This window comes from Homo sapiens, chromosome 13 (assembly GCF_000001405.40).
Source record: "Homo sapiens chromosome 13, GRCh38.p14 Primary Assembly".
In the NCBI taxonomy this organism is placed as follows: Eukaryota; Metazoa; Chordata; class Mammalia; order Primates; family Hominidae; genus Homo; species Homo sapiens.
The window spans coordinates 51,355,216-51,375,557 of record NC_000013.11 but is presented as its reverse complement, the minus strand read 5'-3'; the positions used below and the strand labels follow the sequence as shown (position 1 = coordinate 51,375,557).

General features: G+C 36.7%; 2 protein-coding genes across 14 annotated transcripts in view, besides 1 other annotated feature; one reads left to right on the top strand and one right to left on the bottom strand.

Moving 5' to 3' along the window:
• The window catches only part of INTS6 (integrator complex subunit 6), a 118,632-nt gene that overhangs the window by 77,479 nt on the left and 20,811 nt on the right, over window positions 1-20,342 (top strand). For 5 of the 10 annotated variants that reach the window (XR_007063673.1, XR_007063676.1, XR_007063675.1 and 2 more), the window contains exons 14-18: window positions 762-904; window positions 1,119-1,350; window positions 6,248-6,619; window positions 7,660-7,753; window positions 9,713-9,855. Coding sequence is in view for 6 of the 10 variants with exons in the window: in XM_011535040.4 (XP_011533342.1) it covers window positions 762-904; window positions 1,119-1,350; window positions 6,248-6,619; window positions 7,660-7,753; window positions 9,713-9,806 (935 nt within the window). In the remaining 4 variants the exon portion in view is untranslated. Of the gene's footprint in view, window positions 1-761; window positions 905-1,118; window positions 1,351-6,247; window positions 6,620-7,659; window positions 7,754-9,712; window positions 13,982-20,342 lie in introns of those variants that run through there. The other 5 variants (NM_001039937.2, NM_012141.3, NM_001306091.2 and 2 more) reach the window with 1 other exon arrangement.
• Window positions 4,378-4,877: an enhancer, noted in NCBI's record as "H3K27ac hESC enhancer chr13:51944817-51945316 (GRCh37/hg19 assembly coordinates)". NCBI's record gives its function as "activates a minimal SCP1, AML or CMV promoter by ChIP-STARR-seq in primed H9 embryonic stem cells {active_cell/tissue: H9 hESC(primed)}" and the evidence as "EXISTENCE:reporter gene assay evidence [ECO:0000049][PMID:30033119]".
• Window positions 10,823-20,342, bottom strand: part of SERPINE3 (serpin family E member 3) — a 25,045-nt gene continuing 15,525 nt past the window's right edge. For 3 of the 4 annotated variants that reach the window (XM_047430545.1, XM_047430544.1, NM_001101320.1), the window contains 2 exons: window positions 14,194-14,280; window positions 13,455-13,748 (listed from right to left, as the gene is read on the bottom strand). In XM_047430545.1, coding sequence (XP_047286501.1) covers window positions 13,561-13,748; window positions 14,194-14,280 — 275 coding nt within the window. In that variant the 3' untranslated portion in view covers window positions 13,455-13,560. Of the gene's footprint in view, window positions 11,320-13,454; window positions 13,749-14,193; window positions 14,281-20,342 lie in introns of those variants that run through there. The other variant, NM_001386375.1, reaches the window with a different exon arrangement.

The following is a 20,342-nucleotide window of genomic DNA, read 5'->3' as shown; positions in this document are numbered from 1 at the left end:
AAACGTTTGCCACCTCTGATTTAAGAGTTCTAACAATAATTTTATATAAAAGAGTTAGCTATGCGACTTTTTTTTTTTTTTACCATACTGTACTTCCATTTTCTACAAATTCTACTATAATTAAATTCTGTTTATTTGGAATAGCGCAGAAGAGAAGAGATACATCTTTCACGGTAAGATCACACATACTTTTTTTTTTTTTTTTTGAGTCAGAGCCTTGCTCTGTCGCCCAGGCTGGAGTGCAGTGGTGTGATCTCGGCTCACTGCAACCTCCGCATCCTGGGTTCAAGCGATTCTCCTCCTTAGCCTCCCTAGTAGCTGGGATTACAGGCACGTGCCACCATGCCCTGCTAATTTTTGTATTTTTAATAGAGATGGGATTTTGCCATGTTGGCCAGGCTGGTCTCATTCCTTACCTCAAGTGATCCGGATGTCTGCCTCAGCCTCCCGAAGTGCTGGGATTACAGGCATGAGCCACTGCGCCTGGCCACACATACTTTCTGTATGTGTGGAATTAATGGCAATGTATGTATGTGTGAAATTAATGGCAATTTTTGTTTTGTTTAGATGATGAGATCAGTATTTTAAATTTTATTTTAAAATATTTTGTCGCAGTGGTTATAATTGCACCAAACAAATTTAGAATATGTTGGTAAAGAAGACTGTCTAGAATAACACTAGGTAGCATTCATATATAAGGAAACATTATTTGAGAACTAATTGGAGGTTAACTTTTTTTGCTGTTGTATTCTTTTTGAAAGATCAAGTGCACAGTGTTCCTATAGCACAAATGGGGAACTACCAGGAATACCTCAAGCAAGTACCTTCTCCACTAAGAGAACTTGATCCTGATCAGCCACGAAGGTTGCATACATTTGGCAACCCCTTTAAGCTGGATAAGAAGGTAATTTTGAAATGTTCTATTATGTAATTTGTTTATGGTAGGCACTGTCAGTTTTATAGTTCTTAATTTAACTGAAGTAAGCTGAAGCTATTTTCCTGGTAGAGTATCTAATAAATATGAACAGAATATAGTTACCTTCATTGGAATTGACACTGGTTGTGCCATTTAAACATTGTTTGTAAATTCAAGAAAGTTGTATTCTTTTTTGCTAAAGGGTATGATGATAGATGAAGCAGATGAATTTGTGGCTGGACCTCAAAATAAACATAAACGACCCGGAGAACCAAATATGCAAGGGATCCCTAAAAGACGTCGGTGTATGTCTCCACTACTAAGAGGCAGACAGCAGAATCCTGTTGTAAACAATCATATTGGGGGAAAAGGACCACCTGCACCTACAACTCAAGCACAGCCAGATCTTATTAAACCTCTTCCTCTTCATAAAAGTAAGAATTGTTTTTTTCTTAAACATTATTTGCTGCCTTTTGGTTCCTTTTCAAGGAAGATATTTTTGTTATAGATTATAGAAGGAAATTGATTAGTAGTACAATGAGTGAATGAATGTATAGAAAATTTGTTTAAATGAGCATGTAATCATTTTTGTATGTCTTTTTAATGAACATTTGAACATTTCTTATTTATGATGCTTTATTAGCTATTATGTTCTAACATACATTTGCAAATCTTTCAAAATAATACTTTCGAAAGGAGCATTATCACTATCCACAGAAAGATGGTTTTCAATTTCAGTTGAAGTCAACTAATTATTAAATATGTATGCTATTTTGGATAATGCTGTGCTTTGAGGTATACCACTGAAGACAGGAGTGATCTCTGCCCTCATTTATAATCAGCAAGGAAGGTCAGTCATTGAACAGATATTGGAAGTATGTTGAATGTTACGAAAAAGATGTCAAGTATATTCTGGAAGCATTTGGCAAGAGGATTTAAGTCAATGAAGTCAAGGCACTTAACTGAAGAAGTTAATGCTTAAGCCAAAAGCTGTGCCGTTTGCTTATGCTGGAGCAATAGTATGTGCAGAGGCATAAAGAGAAAGACATTAAGGGAATTTAAAAAATTCCAGTATAGCAAGGGTGTTGGGAATGAGGTAAGGTGAGAACTGAAAGATAGAAGCCAGATTATGGAAGGTCTTGGAAGCTATTTTCAACTTTATTCTAAGGACAGTGAGAATCCACTGAAAGGCTTAAAATGATGGTGACCTAATCTGATTAGCATTTTATGAAGACCAGGTTGACTGTAATGTGTGTGGACTATTATCAGAGAGGAGCAAGAATGAATGTAGGGAAACCCTAATGAATTAATGGACTTATCAATTATATATAGTGGTCATACTTACAGCATGTTAACTGAAGGGAAACAAAATATTATATGACTCCTGATGGAAGTATCCAATACTGCCTTTGAAGTTGTCTTACCCAAAAAAAAAAAAACCAAACACCAAAATTGAACATCAATGTAATCAAACCAATTTATAGGAAATACAGGGGACAGAGAAACATGTGGGATACCGTTAGTAAAATCCAGATTGTAGAAAACTCTACAGGACAAAGAATCTGTTGGGTTTTTTTCCTGGAAAAAAAATATTTTTTCCAGAAAAATAAAAGGGGTACGGAAGGATTTTACAGATTCAAATGTAGTTTAAGAGATATATAAGCCAGTTGCAATGTATAGGCCTTAACTGTACTCAGAATCAAACAAAATCAAACTTTTCCACAAACAGAAAACATGTTGGAGAGTATGGACACTGACTGTATATTTGATGTTATTAAATAATTGTGCATGCACAGGAATCAGTTGGGAAACCCGGGGAACAGATGCTGCTGACCTGACAGTGGGGTTTCAAGAAGAATATGTATTTGAGAAATACCTGGACATACCACTGAAGGACTTGGTTACTGGTCAGATGTTGGGACCAGAGCAGGGGAGGAGTCAGACGTATGTCTTGAGAGACACTGGGTGGGTGGAAGAAGAAATGATAAATGAGTTTAGTTTAGAAGTGCATATTAGGTCATCAAGTGGAGATCCTAAGTTAGAAGATGAATATTGAGTTTGGGCTCAGGAGAAGAGGATTGGGCTAGAGGGGTAGTATGAGAGGCAGGTTACTGCCTATTGCACTGAATAAAATCTCACCAAGGCAAAAAGAAGAAAAAACGCTCAGAACAGAACCTTGAAAGTGCCAAAGTTAAGAGGAGAAAGCAGAAAAGGAGATTGAGAAGGAAGAATTTTAGAGCTAGGAGAAAATAGGGGAGAATTTAATGTCATGGAAGCTAAAGGGCAAGATAATTGAGTGGGTAGTTGTCCCAAATACTTTAAAAAAAAAAAAAAAACTGTTCAATCAAGAGAAATGGAAAGATTCTGTGGTCTTTGGCGATCTTAGCAAGAGCAGTTTCTGTGGAGTAAAGGGGCAGAGCCTAACAAGGGGTTATGGGAGGAGTGAGAGGTGAGAAAATGGAAACAATGGCTATGAGTATAAACGACCAGTTAAGTTTAGTTGTAAAAGGAAGATGGGAAAAGAGCATGGTATCTGGAAGAGTTCACAGGGTTTTGAAAATGGTGATTTTTCTTTGTTTTTAATATCAGAGATGCTTGAGCATGTTTCAGTGCTGGTGGTGGAACCAGTAAAGAGGGAGAGGTTGAAAATAAAAATGAGAAAAGGCATACTCAGCACAAAATTACTGAGAACGCAAGAGGGAATGGTCTAGAGCATAGATGAAAGAATGCTCCCTCCATTGACACTGAATGTGGGGGAAGTGGGGCGAGGGTGTGTGCAATTTAGTTAGAGGAAGGTAAAGGAAGTCCCTTAATCATGGCTTTGCTTTTCTTCCGAGCTCTGTGAGGTAGAAGGTGAAGTATACTGCTGAGACGGAAGGGGATATTGGGAAAGTCAGAGGTTTGAAGAGAGTGAGGGAGTTTAACAATCTCTGTGGGAGAGAGAGAGAAAAGATTGTGATAAGGTTGCTAGACAGTGCCTGGGATCCAAGTAGAGATGGTGATTGTGACCACTCTGTAGAGCTGGGCCCTATTTCTCCAGCAGCGCTCATGATTCCAAATGCAAGTCTGGGGCAAGCAGATAGTGAGTCAAGAGATGGGATTTTGCTTGGCAGATGTTATGGGAAGACAGTAGAATAAGAGAAATTCAGACATTAGTAAAAGTGATATATCACTTTTACTTACAGGGATATAAGCCTGATACAGAATTGGCTACTTAGAAGGGATATGGTTAATAGGAGGAAGAAAGTAGAGGAATTGCTAGAGTCAAAGTCTGGCTGAGTTAAGGAGCAGTAGCGGGAGTACTGTGAAGATGATACTCCTCCATCTCTGAATTTGTCTGGATGTGAAAGGCGAAGGTGTAAGTGTAAGTTCTTTAGAGAGAAGCTGGGGAATGGGGAGGCCAGGTTCTTAACAGGTGATCTGCTTAAACACTGAAGTCACCACAGCACTTCTCAGACTTGAATATGCATGTGAATCACCTGGGAGGTCTAGTTAAACTACAGATTCTCATTTATTCAGTCTGAGGCAGATGAGCATTTCTAGCAAGCTCTCTGTTGGTGGTACTGCTGCTTGTCCACACACCAGACTTCGAGTAGTAGTAAGAACCAAGAATGAAGTCAGAAGGGCTTTGGGGGTGGAATGTGCATGGCAGATGTGCTTGATAGCAATAACTGAAGCATACCTTGAGAATGACCCTGCTTGCAGACAACACCTGCATGCGGTTGGGAGTTCTGAGCTAGGGAATAGGGTGGCTAACCCAAAGATCCATTCCCTATCTATAAGGAACATCTGTGCCCCTAACCCATTGTGAAGTGAATGCAGGCCAGACAGGGGATTGAGGCCCTTTGTTTTGGGTTAAATGAAGGTTGCCAGGTGGAGGTTGTTAGGGGGAAGAGTGCTAAGTGAAAATACGATATAAACTGTATACTTTTTGCAAGCAGTTGCCATTTTTCTGCCCAGCCTGCTGCCACTGGGCCGTGCAGTTATCCTGTCCAGCCCACCACCATTGGACTGTATGTAAGGTGCTTCTCCTGCCTAGCTTGCCACCACTGGGCTTGCTCCCCTTTATGTAGCCCCCAACAAAACGCCTTGTCTTGTTTGCTGGCTCTGGGTCTCTTCTTTGGCTTCTTGAACTTGGTGCCATCCCCACTGGAGTTGATAGGGGCTCAGCACAACAGAAGGAAGGCTATGAACTGGGTGCCAGAGACAACAGTGGCTTACAGGCTTGTACCCTGGAGATTGGCCTAAGATAGTGATAAGGAGAGACAGCGTGAATGGCATGGTTGAGTCTCACAAGAGTGCAAGGGAGTAATTTTGCAATAGCACTAGGAAGTGAAGGAATCAGTGACTCCATGTCCTTTTATGCCTATGGAGATTGTGCAAGAGAAAGCAATTTCTACTTTTGGTCTGGAAAGGAGAGCAGTCTCCATACAGGAGAGCTGGGTTTCAGTTAAAGCATAAGTTGTTGTAGAGAATATTCAGTAAAGAGGAGTTTGCAAATCATGGAATCGAATTTAGGAGAGAGTCAGGAATTTGGGGGATTTGTGATGAGTGTATAGGGGAATATGGGTAAACTAAGTTTATAGTTTGGACAGGAAATGAGGACAGTAGAGATGAATTCAGCTGGGATCCTGGAGGTTGGTGAGCAATCAGAGAACTTAAAATTCAGCTGCTTTCTGTGGGGCAAGTCTAATAATCTGGTGTTAAGAGGAAGGCTTGCGAGCTTTCAGTTTTAGTAGTCTAATAAGCTGAAGTGGGCACCAGGTTGCTCTGCACTGGTAAATAAATGATGACTAGATTCTCTAGTTAGAAGGTATACTGTAAAACATTACCTGTTTGGTGGTATGTTCCCTGCAGAATTTGGAACAGTTAAAGGCAGAAATATAAGTGGAAAGTAAAAACTACCCAGTGTTTACTTTTGCCTCTAAATGATACCAGATGTATAAGGCATATGTGTGAGTTAGGGCTCTCTAAGGTAGAGATAGATGACCGTGATAATTTTGATCATAGATATTTCATTGAAGTATCAAGAACCTACTTGTTTCAATAAAATTGCTATAGAATAAACCAGAAAACTAAAAACTACTTGAAATTGGCTTTATTTTTTCCTCCAAGGGTAAAAATTGTAAATATTTTGTAAATACTGTGTATGTGTCACATTGAAATCTACCGTATCTTTGGCAATGCTTAAAAACTATATCACATTATTTGTTAACTTGCATTAGTCAAGGAAAACAGTTGACTTGCTGTAGTAATGTTCTTTTGTAGCTTTATTTACTGTATGCTTTGAGACTGGATCCCATAATTTTTTCCCCGTATCTTTGTTTTTAGTTTCAGAAACCACTAATGATTCGATAATACATGATGTGGTTGAAAATCATGTTGCAGACCAACTTTCATCAGACATTACACCAAATGCTATGGATACGGAATTTTCAGCATCTTCTCCAGCCAGTTTACTGGAACGGCCAACCAATCATATGGAGGCTCTTGGTCATGACCATTTAGGAACCAATGACCTCACTGTTGGTGGATTTTTAGAAAATCATGAGGAGCCAAGAGATAAAGAACAATGTGCTGAAGAGAACATACCAGCATCTTCACTCAACAAAGGAAAGAAATTGATGCATTGCAGAAGCCATGAAGAGGTCAATACTGAACTAAAAGCACAAATAATGAAAGAGATCCGAAAGCCAGGAAGAAGTATGTATAATAAGAGACGAACCTCAGATCTGATTTCTGTATGTGCTCAAAAAGCAAAAAAGAAAAAAAAAGTCAAGTAACTGTAGTAAAAGAATACATATGATTCTAGATCTGTCTTGAACAACATCTCAGTTAAGATCCTTTATTCATCTGACCAACACCAAATATCTTCTATTTCCAAGGTACTAGGTATGGTGGTAGGCAGCAGGGACTGAGAGCAGAGCAACACTGTACAGATAAATTGACAGGAACCCATAGTCTTGAATATTCTGACCAACGATGGAATTTTAATATAGCAGCTAGCTCACAAGAGATATAGTGAAAATTAAATGACTTCATGTCTGTAAAGTTCTTGTCATAGTGCCTACCACTATGTTTAGTAGTTAAACTGTGATATTATAGGATATGTTTAGGCCAAAAAACTAAAGTTATGAAAGCTCTCTGGTATATGAACACAAAAGAACTTCGTGGGAAAAAGTTCAGTATTATTGGCATTCATTTAGAGGATGTTAACAGATCACTTGCCCTGGGGTAGTAGAATGACCTGGGTGGTCCAGAAATGGGAACAAATCAGTCCTTGGAGTTCAGACGTTTATAGCCCTTGCAGAGTTTCATATGAAAACTTTAAACTGAAATAACACTCTTAACCTGTCTGGTTTTTACCCCCACTTCCCAGTTACCCCCATGTTAGCTGTTAGAATTTTAAACTGTAAGGATGGAGTTTTGTAAAGGCCACTTGTTCTTATTTTTTAGTGATACTACCATAAAGCTATTTACTCATCCTTTTAAGCTTTATGTTTGATACCTTAATAGGAACTTTTACTTACAAAGCAGGGTTTGATTAGTTGTTTTATCTTTGTTGCTGTGTACTTACTTTTACATATATGTTAAAATATAAAATCTCTAATGAGTGGTGAAATTTTTATGTAGAATGTTTTTATCTCAGTATATCTTAATATCATAAACTGCAAAAGAAGAATATTGAATAAGAATACAAATGAAAGGCACTTAATTTTTCTTTTTGTTTCTTTTGCTTTAAGAATATGAAAGAATCTTCACTTTACTGAAGCATGTGCAAGGCAGTTTACAAACAAGACTAATATTTTTACAAAATGTCATTAAAGAAGCATCAAGGTAAATAAACTATTGCATATAATGAAATGGTGATGAAATGAGTCCACAGTTTATATAGGCAGTATTTTAATAGTATCCGTTTTGCACTTGTATTGTTTATAAATGTATATGGCATACCAACATATAAATAAATTCTTATTCTTTTTTAGTTTATTGAAAGAAATTCACTTAGAAAACAGCCACACATACATTCTTCAGGAATTATGGACCTTTTCTCCCTACAAATTACTGGATACTTGGAGAATTCTTGTTATTCTTCTCTGTAGCTTTTTGATATCTTTACATTAATATTTTATAACCTTTAATTTTTCTCCTTTATACATTAATATTGGTGACTAAAAATAACGTACTTGAGTGTCATTTATTTTTACATGGGAAAACGTAATTAAGGAGACAAGAATTGGACAAATGGGCCTTATTCTGATTGTTTCAGTAGCCCAGGATCATTAGTACATTGGCCCTCTGTATCCCTGGGTTCCACATTCATTGGATTCAAGCAACCACAGATTGAAAGTATTTGGAGGCGGGGAAATGGATGGTTGTATCTGTATTGAATATGTACAGGCTTTTTTTTTCTTGTCATTTTCTAAATAATTCAGTCTAATTCATATCGTATTTACACTGTATTAGTATTATAAATAATGTAGAGATTATTTAGAGCATATGGGAGAATGTACATAGGTTACATGCAAATATTGGGCCATTTTATACAAGGGACTTGAGCATTCGTGGATTTTAGTGTTCATAGGGAGGCCTAGAATAAATCCCCCATCCATACCGAGGGATCACTGTGTAAAGAAGGTGGATAAAGGTTATAAATGGTAATTAAGAAGTGCAATTAACTGGAAAACATAGTTGTATGAGTTTAAAAACATTTTTTATTTTCCCTTCAAGATTTTGGGGATTTTAGTATTATAAGAAAACTTGGGGCTTATCACATCCCACCTTCTAAATGTAAACACACTTATACTTTGTCCCCCTGTCTCTTCTATGCTACACATGAAGATTTTAGATAAAGTTGGTTTTGTTTCTGGTTTTCTTTTCTTTTTGTACTTTTGGAGTGGCTAGAGCATAGGCCAGTTTGCAGGATCAAGATAAGGCTATAACTTTTCATGTAATTTTGAGTATTTAACCTATTATGCTCTTTATGGTAACATTCTGTCAGCTAAAACCTCATTAGGAATTTATATCCCCGGTATCTGTACTTCACTTCTGCCACCTTTTAGAGAGTTGTGTAGTATTATGGTGGCTATTTATATTAGCTTCTAAGTAGCAAGGAAGTAGGAATAAAATGTCCAGTGTCTTGGGATATTCTTAAAACCGTCAGCAGTTACGTATACAGATGCAATTTTAGTCTGTCCATATTTGTTACTGAAAATCTTTAAAAGTTGTTACTTGAACTTTAACTGCTTGCTATACTCTGTATTATAGATGTCTATCCTTGATTTGCTAGCTCTCAAATTGTAATAGAATACCATGGTTTTTAAATGCTGCTGACCAATTTTCATTTCTTCTTCCATTTTGTGGGAGATTATATTCATACTTTGTTCACATTCCTTTCAATATTCAGCTTACAAAGAGCATGAGAAGAAGCTATTGAAGTATTTGCTTGGGGAGCCCAAATTTCACTAGAGTGTTTGCAGCCCTTGAATATATTTTGAATATATTAGTTTTTTGTTTTTTTGTTTGTTTTTTCCTTTTTCTTTTCGGTTGTGGAAGGAACAACCTCTTTCCCATTGTTTAGCCCTAGAGTGTTTTAGGGACAAACTATAATACTGTACTAGGATAATAATTTGCTAATCTTTCAACATATTTTATATTGTCGTAGTATTGATTTTTCTATTTTCATTTCACTTTGAAAAATCTTCCCAAAATTTTCTCTCCTTTCTTAAAAAAATTATACTGATATATACTATTCATTAAAAAGTAATTGAGAGTACTATTTATTTTTTCATACAGGTTTAAAAAACGAATGCTAATAGAACAACTGGAGAACTTCTTGGATGAAATTCATCGAAGAGCCAATCAGATCAACCATATTAATAGCAATTAAAAGAAAATAGAATGTGGCCACTTATTTCACTATCTTCTTCAAATACAAAGTAAATACAAGACTGTTGTGATCTTGCATTCATTTTCTGACATGCATTGTTGGCTATTTGAAATACTAAAAGCAAATCTACAGATCCTTTTTCCATCATTTTACAGTGACCTTTTCTTCATTTTGGTTTATTTTTGTAATGTGAAAAGTATCACTCTAAAAAACATTTTTAATTTAACAAACTAAAAATATTCCTCCAAATCTCTTGCTTGTCATTGACTCTTGCGTGTCAATTTCCCTCAGGTTCTATTTTCTTAAACCAACCTTTAAAATTGTCACCTCTGTTAAGGTTGAACTTTGCCAAAAAAAAAAGAAGTTACTTTGTAATTTTTGGGGAAAAAAGCACATACATTAAAACTAGGTAATGTTTTGTATATACAGTTATTTTGGATATATTATTGTAAGTTGTACAAATGTATTTTGAAGAATATTTAAGAAAAGCACTTTTGTTATTCCATCAATAAATGCTCTATTTTACTCTTGTGTGGTTTAGGAAATAATCACATTTAAAGTAATCATTTAAAAACATCCTAAGATAATGGAATTTTAAAGGCCTTGCTTTTTAGCATTGGAAAAATACACCACTTGAAGTTCATGTTTGTTAAGCCTAACTGTAATTACATGTTACATAATCTGCATTGCCTTTTTACTATATGTTCGTAGTTTTTGTTGGCCATGCCAACATACTCCCATTTCTGCCTAGATTATGGGAATGACTTTGTATGGGGCAGATAGACAGATACTTTAAAAGCTATTTAAAAAGCAAACAACTTTGGATATTATTGGTTTCCTTACTTCAACACCTTTTCCTTTATCACTAGGATTGTGGATGGCACGAAGCTGAAGCTGTTAGGGAGTGGTAGGTTTGGAGTACAGTACATGCTCTGAAATATCTAGCCTTTAGCAGCTTCATGCCATGCTTGCAAAAGCCCACAACAAATTGGAGGCCTCCTTGTTCTGCTCTGCTGTTCTCACACTTAAACTCTGTTTTATTTATAAGCTAAATGGAAAGGAAACACCTTTAAGATGACTTTGCTCATTTTGCATCCCCCCTGAGTTTCACAGGATAAGGAAAACCACGCTATTCATTCTCCACCCTCAATTCAACATGGCCTAGAGTATCCGTACTGAGGAAGCAATCTTATGGCCTGACTCACTCACCATTCATGATCACTGCTGTGCCTTTTAGTGGTTTGGGGGGTAAGCAGTAGAAAAGAAGGTCAAAATAGATTTGGATTAAGAGTAGGCAAAATAAACTTATAACATTTAAAAACTGAAGTATTTTTAGGTTTATAATATTGAAAATCACATACCCTTAGCTTTTTACACTTTATCAGACATTTTTTTAAATTTCAAGGGTATAGCAAAATGAAATTATAACTTTATGAAGAAAAGCATTGATGAAAGTGGAGAACATGCATTTAGTCTAGGGGATTTGAAACTCTCCCAATACTGAAGACAAACCCTGTCAAGAAAAAGAAGAATTTAATATTATATAGTATTTTCATATGCAGTTCTTTAAGCTTTGTTTACTTCTATACAAATACTTTTAAGTAATGCAAGATAACATTTAATAGATGGAATTGTTAAGGTAATTGCCTGTAGTCACATTGCTAAATTCATTGAGAGTTACACAAAATCCAGAATATATTGTCTGTTCCTAAATTATATATATTTAGATTCTGGAATTACTAGGAGGAATTAGAAGTCATTCAGATAAAAATTCATACTTAACAAGAGTATCTAGGAAAGAGATTCAGCCCATCCCAATATTGAGCAGCTTTCCTTATCAGAAAGTTTTATTTTCTGTTTCACAGATTGCTCATGACCTTTAATACATTTTTCTGAATGAACCCTGGAGGGAGGTGAGAAGTAGCAGTTTTGTTCATCTCTTCTTTTTGTCCTTTATCTCTCTGCCACTGTTCTCACCTCATCCTAAAACCTGGTCAGGAGGGTTTGAAACCTATCAGAACTAAAGGTTAATATCTCATCTCCCTCAGGCTTTTTTCATTTAAAAAAAAAATGGGTATATTAGTTAAATTAGAATACTTGTTGTAGAATTATTGTCAAAGGGGAAGGGAAATACATCTAGGGGAAACATCATGTCTTTTAGGCCCTTTATGTCACTGAATGACTTAAGGCTCGACAAATGATATTCTTGGAAAGTTTAATCTTGAGGTTTTCAAATCTTTTTTTTTAATGTCTCCCATGTTTCTCATTTGCTGATTGATTCATTAGTTGCTCTTAGTAAGATTTGTCAGTTGGAAATAATGAAGGCTGAGACTCATTTCTAAACTCTTCCATAACCATCACCAGAAGAGCAGCCACTGTGTTGTGTGATGTAGGCTAATGCCTCCCAGATAGAGGTAAAGTCACAAGGACTATTAGAATTCCAGTGGATTGTGGAACTGGTTTTGGATTATCCTTATATTTTCATTCTGATTACTGAGGCAGTTCTGAAAACTCCTACCATTGAAATAGTGGTGTGTCTTTTCCTTGTTTAAGGATTTTACATCATTTTTATGCACTTGAATTCCAAAATCAGAATCTCTCTTTTACCTATCAACCTTTATTGGCTATTGGCTTTTGGCAATGACCTTTCTGTTCAAATGTAGTCCTGTCTCTTTGTTTCCTTAGGGAGTAGAACCTGTCCTTTTTCTCATCTTTCATTTTTTTGACGTGTCCTTTCTAAGAGAAGGCTCTCTGCCGCCTGTTCTGGGTGATAAGTGATATTTTCATCTAATCGTTATGTGGTTGGGATGATCATGGTGAAATACTAGGAAGACATACTCTGTTGATGGACTTTTTCTCTCCAAATAATCCCAAATAGATTATTTTCTAGTGAATGGTTTATATCTTTCTCGTCACAAAAATGTTCCTTTGATTTCTAGCACAAGGTACAGCAGGATGCAAATGATTCTCAGATAAAATGATGTTGACAGTATTTCCTTAACAATTTATGTAAAACTATGCATAATTTTCATTCTAACTTTTGACATTTTTCTCCATAAATAAAAGTAATGCCTGATGTTTAGTTAAAGTAGATCCACCTTTGCTTGATTTTATTAGTCTTGTTCTATCCTATTTCTTTTTAATACACTGTTTAGACTTGCCAACAACTCTTAACTGAGAATCTCTTTTCCTTCCTAGGCTAAGTAATTGTGAGTGGGGGAGGAAGAACATTAAGAGAAATAATCTAAAGACTTTGTTCAATATTGTCGAAGCCTAAGAATATTTGTGTGTCCTTCTGATGTACTGAGGCTTTGCCGGTACCACACCATCTTTGGATTACCATAAGGTTATGTAGTAGGACTTAAAAGTACTAGGGCAAACATTTGATTTTTGAGAAAGATCAACAGAACAGTATAGAAATCCAGGTGCATTCATTAGAATACTAGGATCACAAGAGGACTACTCTGGTGTACTCTAGTGACCTGAAAAAACTCTAAAATGATAAGAAAGCTAGGGGACAAAGGGAAAAAAGGGCAAGATTTATAATTTATTTTACTTTCATGATTTTTCCAAGTGTCTTCAGAAGTAGAAACCTATAGCATTAAAAAAAAAAATCTACATTAACTATATATGAGCTGAGAGAATGAGAAGGTAAAAAACATGGAGGATAAGTTTCCTTTGTACTTACGAAATAGTCCCCTTTCTTAGGATAGAAGATAGCAACTGGGTAGCTTCTGAAGCACCATAAAAACAGCTAGAAAGAATGCTTATTTTTGAGGGGATAGTGGACAAATGAGCCCTTGTTGCTAGAGAGACACTGATAAATTATCTGAATCCTGTCAAAAAATACTGTAATACCTGTGTTAGGTTCTCTCAGGAAATAGATGAATGGCCGATCTGCTTTAAAAATAGGAATCCGAGACCTTTTCAATAACAACAGAGCTGCAGGAAAGAAAGAAAAATTCCATTGCATTTTCTGTGCATTTTTAAGAAAATAACTATTGGTTATGAAGTAAGTTAATTTTTTAAGAAATCAAAGCATCCTAATGGCATTTGATTGTTTACTGTTGTGATGGGGGTGCAGATGGGAAAATTAAAGAGAAAAGATGCCATTTAGCCAATCCTGTCTCCTGTTTTCAACACATTCCATGGAATAAATTCCTTATTGAAGGTAACTTTCAGAATTATTTTTATGGGATGGATATCTCTTCTTCCCCGTCATTTTTCAAAAACTTTTTGTTTTCTTTAGTGTTCCTTTTTAAAAAATACTACACCACACCTGAACTTGGGGGTTATGGAAAGATTCAGAAGTGTGAAGATTCAACTAGGTAAATTTCAGAAAGGTAGATATGGGTAAGCAGTGTGACTGGGTATTCTCTGAACATACCTGTGGCTCCAGATGCCTTGGTGCCTTCCTCCAAAACTTCAATCTTGGCCTTGTGGATTGCTTCAGAAACATAAAAGCCATCTTGGCCTAACCACAGAAAATGATAAAAATGTGAGTTGCTCATTAACATTTTTCTAACACATTTAGAACACATTCTTTAAAAATGTACTTACAAAATTTATAGTATCCAATGCTGCTTACTGTGTAGCTAGGGAAAGAGTGGAAAATTCTGTTTTTGTTTTTACTGGAGGCTCAGGTAGCTGTTTGGAAAATTCTTAAGACTCAATATGTTACCAAACTTTAATTTGTTATATATATTTAATTTGTTAAAATATGTAATCGCTCCCAAAATAATATTCAGAGCACTGCCCCATTTTTTCAGTGGTTCATTTTCAGAAATGATTCTAGTTAAAACTACAATCCCTCCTTCAGCCAGTATTTCCTAAACTTCAGTGATCATAGGGTATGTGTTAAAATGCAGATTCTGTAGCCCGGGAATCATTTTCACCAAGCTTCAGAGATCATTTCCCTTGAATGCCTTTTTGGACTGCACTTTAAGAGCCACTTTTAAATGACAAAGTCACAGGTTTTTATTACAGGCTTTATTGAGGCACAATTCAGAGTAATATGAATGTGTCTAGTGTTGCATGACTGTATTCTGTATACTTAGGTGTATCAGTTATGCAATTAATTTGCCTCATGGGCTAGAATCTACAAAGCAAATGAGAGGTTAGTATAAATGTTCTATGTGCTAACAGTTTCACAGATTATAAGTTTAGCAAATAGGACTAAGTGATAATTTAGAGGAATTGGCTGATTTTTGTAAGCTAATCATTAACCATTTTTAAACAGCTCCAAAGATGAAAGGATACTTGATGACACAGTAAAAAATGAAAGATTTAGAACCAGAAGAAACTTAGGAAATCATTCAGTCCAATCCTTTCATTTTAGAGTGAGCTGTGAACTCACCTGAGATCACACATTTGAAAAGCAGAGTTGAGAATATTCTGATTGAAAGCCCACTCCCATCCCACCCCTCTCCTCCATTCAAACACTGCCGCCTTTCAGAAAGTGTATGCTAGTCAGCTCCAACATGCCACTGGGAGGTATCTGTGGCATGAATGTTAAAATGATCAGTTTGATGAACACATATTGTGTGAGGGAGCTTTGTTTCATCTTAGACTAACGCTTAAATTGGTTTGTGTTTGTCACGCACACACAGGAGATAGCCCATGAATGCCATGAGAGAATAAAACCAGACCAAAATAAAGAATATGCGGCATTCCATCCATCTTGTAAGATGTGCACAGGATGTTGGGAGTTGGCTATATTCACTGTAAGGAACAGTTATTTTCCAGCATCAGTGAAGGGGACAGGAAGGGCCAGAGGAAGTAAAAATCAATAGAAACATTCACTAGTGTCACTTGTCCTAAAATCAGCAAAGAATTTGATTTATTTTAGCAGTTGGTCTTTTTCTCTAGGGTCTTTAAGAAACAAATTTCACTATCAATAATTAGCCCCTCTTACTAGCTAATTAAGCAAACTGAAATGCAGTGCCAAAGTTACAAAGAGCTTTAGGGTTAAAGAATGGTTATTTGACAGTCATGAGAGGCTTTTACTAATCTCCGAGACTTCATGACTATATAGGATGGTGTCTGAACATTTTAAATGAATGTTGGTGAAATAAGCAGAGATTCACTATGAAACCCCTTATCAGCTAAAATACAGTAAATGTGTCTGTATTAGTCTGGGCACCTTGGCAGTGTGAGAAATGAGACCAGTTGATGTGGATGAGTCTGGTTAGATGGGCCAGGCTATTTCAGTATTTTGAAACTGCAACTGAAGAGTTTCATTTAAACAGTTTCTCTCCATCAGACTATAGGAGTGGTCCAATAATTGACATTTATATGTTTGCACAGCCATAAACCAAGGTCCATAGCCTATGTCATGCCCCAGCATCAGCATCTTTTAAATTTTATCTCTGGTAAGAGTTGACATTTCAAAAGACCAACATATGCGATAAAAATGAGAATATGGGAGTCATCTATGGTTTTGCATTTTTCCTCCCACTTGATCTTGTATTACAGATTCCTATTATTTTTTATTGAGTAGCTATTGAAATATTACAGAACTAATGAAATGAACCTAGAAGTCAAGCACAAAGGGATTCTCCTGGTCTTTTTCTACTCCCCTGAAGTGTTGACAGCTGCTTAGTGCCATTGAGGGACATACGCCCTATTTTCCCAAAAGTTGTTCTCAAGATTGTTTATAGGTGGCATTCTGTAAAAGGGTTCCATGATTAATTATATGTGGGAGATGCTAAACAGTTTTGCACTTTTGTTTTCAGTAGGGGACTTCTTAGAGCTGCTAATCTGCTAACTTTTATAGTGAATCTCTACAGGACAATTATAATACATAGCGTTTAACCATAGAACCACCCACACCATTCTCTGTCCCAGATTTACAGGATTAGCATTTTGGGAACATACTTTGGGAAACTGTAGCCCACCATAAACTCGCTTGCTCCTACAATACAACATTCTATATACAAAGCAAAGGGGTGATACTCTTCCTACCCTCCCTCCTGGCATACTCTCCACTCTTCTTCCATAACATCTTCTATGGGTTTTTACCTTCCTTTTTAGACTATTAGCTCCTAGAAGCATAAATGATGTCTTAATCATTTTAAATATTTCTTTGCCCAACTTACATTAAAAATACTTGGTACATTAATGTGTTTAGTAAATGCTGGATGAATTAATAATAGACACCCCTTACCACTATACGAATGGCCTTAATGTTCTTTAACCTTGTTAAACTTGTAAGGAAATGCTGATTGGTGTTTGTAGAACCATAAAGGCGTGGCATAGAATGGGTCATCTGCAAGTCTCAGCCAAATGATTGTTTCAGTGCTTTGTTGGTGGACACCGTTATTCTTTGTGTATGGCTGGTCATACTCAAAAGGTTAAAAGTCTTCAAAACATGACGTTGTATAAACATTGTGTCCCAACATTTCATCCTCAGCTTCTCATAAATCAGGATAAACATATCATTTGCTGTTTCTTTTGTCTTTACAATTATTTGCTGTAGCCAGTGTTAGTGGCTTTTAAAATGTTATTGCCAGAACTTGCTTCTAGTTTATCTTTTTCATCTTGTCACTTAGTTGCTAACACTAAGTGTTAGGGAGAGGGGGCTAGAGAGAGAAACACATAGCACCCGGCCCAGGAGAGGGAGAGAGAGTGCTAAGAAGAATCTGAAATGGCCTTTGAAATTAGGCTATGGTTAGTTGCTTTCTCCATTTGTCTCCTCTAGCCCACTCTGCACCTCTTTCTATTGCAATTCTGACCAGACATCTGGTGTGGCATAAGTTAACTTACATAACTTCCATACTCAACCAAACAACTCTGGTTTGTTCATTTAAGTCATAGTAACAGAGAACTTGTACTTCTTACCGAGCAGAGATTGGAAACTACCTACTTATAAAAGCCAAGAACAAGACAGTTTCTTCAGAGTTTCAAGTTTGTGCACAAGGAGTATTTTGTGGACTAGGAGGCATGGGTCTATATCAAAGCCTGCTGATCCTAAAGCCAGTGGGATTGCTTAAGAAGAGTATCTTTAGCTGGCATCTTCAGTGTGAGTGAAACTGGAATTACTCTTAAAAGCTGCATAACATCTAGTATCAAGGAGACTGGGGGGGAACTACACTCTGGTTTCAGCTGGGCCTTGAGATAATATTGAATGAGTCCTTAAGGCAGCAAAAAAAATATTTGATGCCAAGAAGGAAGAGATAAGTGACTTGTAAATGGGGAAAGAGAATTTGAGTAAAATGATTCTGGGCTTTGGGACCGAAAGGCCAAATGTTTGCTGTGGTGGTTGGAGTTCCATCAGTAGTACAAAACTGCTTGGTAATCCCTCGTAAACTGGAAGAAGAGAGGAGAGGCCAGTATTTTCTGATCACTTACTCTCTGGCAAGGTCTCTGCTGATGTCATACTATAAGTAAATGATTTTGTTTCTACAATTAAGATGTGTGGTGAGTGGTAGTTACCCCATTTTAGGAATGAGGAAACTATTTGTTGGAGAGATTTGGTGGCCCTGTCTCTAGAATATTAAGTTGAAAGCCCATTTGGGCAGAGAAGTGGTTAGTCTCTTGATTATGTTTAAAGAAGGACATTAAGAAGCAATAATTTGGTTGGCAATCTTTTTCTATAAAGGGCCGGATATTAAATATTTTAGCCACTGCAAGCCATATGGTGTCTGTCTCAACTACTCAGTTTTGCTGCTGTAGCAGGAAAGCAGCCATAGATGATTTATGAATGAATGAGAGTGGCTATGTTTTAATTAAACTTCACAAAAGCAGGTGGTAGGCCATTGTTTGCTGACCCCTGCTTTAGAGGAACAAAACTTCATGAGAGAAAATTAACAGACTGGCATGTTTTGTCAGTAGGAAATGTGAATGCAAGCTTCATACTTGGCACATGATAATTGCTTCATAATTATTAAATAAGCCAGATCTGCCTGCCTACCTTTCTGCTGGTTTGAGCAAATATAAGTAGATTTGAATAGCGTTAAAAAAAAAAAAAAGGTTTCGTATCAAAAAAGGTACTTTTAAAACTAGGTTATTTATTAGATCTTGCCAGAGGAGTTTGTGGACCTTGGAAGCCTTTACCAATAGGGGAGCTACATGATGTGTGTTAAGATCAGTCCTGTTTGAGGACAGAGGGTTGATGGCACATTAGGATGTACTTTTAGGACATAAAAGGGAGAGCTTTAGGAGTTATGAAGGGACAGTCAGTAAGCCCTAGTGATTCACGGAATACAGTGATGTAGAAGAAAATACAGCGATGTAGAAGAAAATACAGTTTTTAACTCTGATCATCAAAATCACCAGCAACAACAGGGATGCCATGGCTGAGCTCTGGAGTTGCAAGAAGACACTGGTTAGATTTTGCACATTATCAAACATAGAATTCTCTTAAGTTCTTCATCCCTTGCTCTTTCCTTGCCCTCCAATCTTTTCACTTCAGTATTCCTCCTTTGCTTGAAATGTCAGATTATGCCTGTGTCAGTAAGGAAAGTTTCTGTTTGAGTCATTTGACCAAGTCAACAGTATTTACTTGGTATCCAACTGTGTGCCAAGCATCGTTGTGGACACAATGCCCAAACTTGACTATTGCTTTGCTATCTCTTTGCGTGTTCAGGCAATGAGTACAGAGCTGGTAGATTTTAAACTCTGTAGAATAGATTCTCACTCCTGTGTTTTATTTGATAAGTAACTGTCAATCTGGTCACATCTAAAGCCCAAACCAAGACTTCTCTTGTGGATCAAAATCTCAATTTTCCTGTGATTCCTTAAGAAGGAAGATTCTGAGCCAAGATTTAGAAAAGTCCACATTATGATGTTCTAGAATTCAAAATAGTGATTTTCAAGCCCTTCAGGTAAGGGAAATGTCAAGGCCAATGGAAATACCAGCTACAGTATCATCTTTGCACAGATAATTTACTATCCAGAGTAGAAACAAACCTGAGCCTTTGAGTTGGCAATAGTTTAGCCAATGGTGTCTTGAGAGGATTGTAGAACATAGGTTCTGGCATTCACTCCCTGTTTATATTTGATATAAATTTCCTATAATACCATAAGCAAACAGCACCTATTGATTGGTAGTAGCAATTCAACTTTGTGCAAAGAAATTCAATGTGGTTGGTGGAAAGGAGAACATTTTAAGGCAAGGTTGTAAGAGTATGGGTAATTTGAAAAAAGGAAATTGGACAGATGAGGGAAGGTTTCAAGACTAGCTTATTAGAAGAGGACAGAGAAGGTATTGGGAAGGAGGGAGGAAAAGGGTGTAGAAACAAAGGGTGACTGAAGCTGATGGGACAGCAGGAGGTCATAATGAAGAATCTATTGCTGCAGCAATGCCTTGGGTACACTCCTAGTCATGACGGTTAGAGGGAGGGTCTGTTTACTGTGTGCTGTGGACATTGACCCCATGGTGAAGGTCGTCTCTGAAAACCATGATTAAGGCCTGAAGAAACATCCCTTCCTCACAAGATCTAACCCAAATTTGACTGTTATTAGAAGCAACACATTCTTATATAAAACAGAGCACCTTTCTTATTCTTTTACATAATGTTGACTCTGAAATGAGAA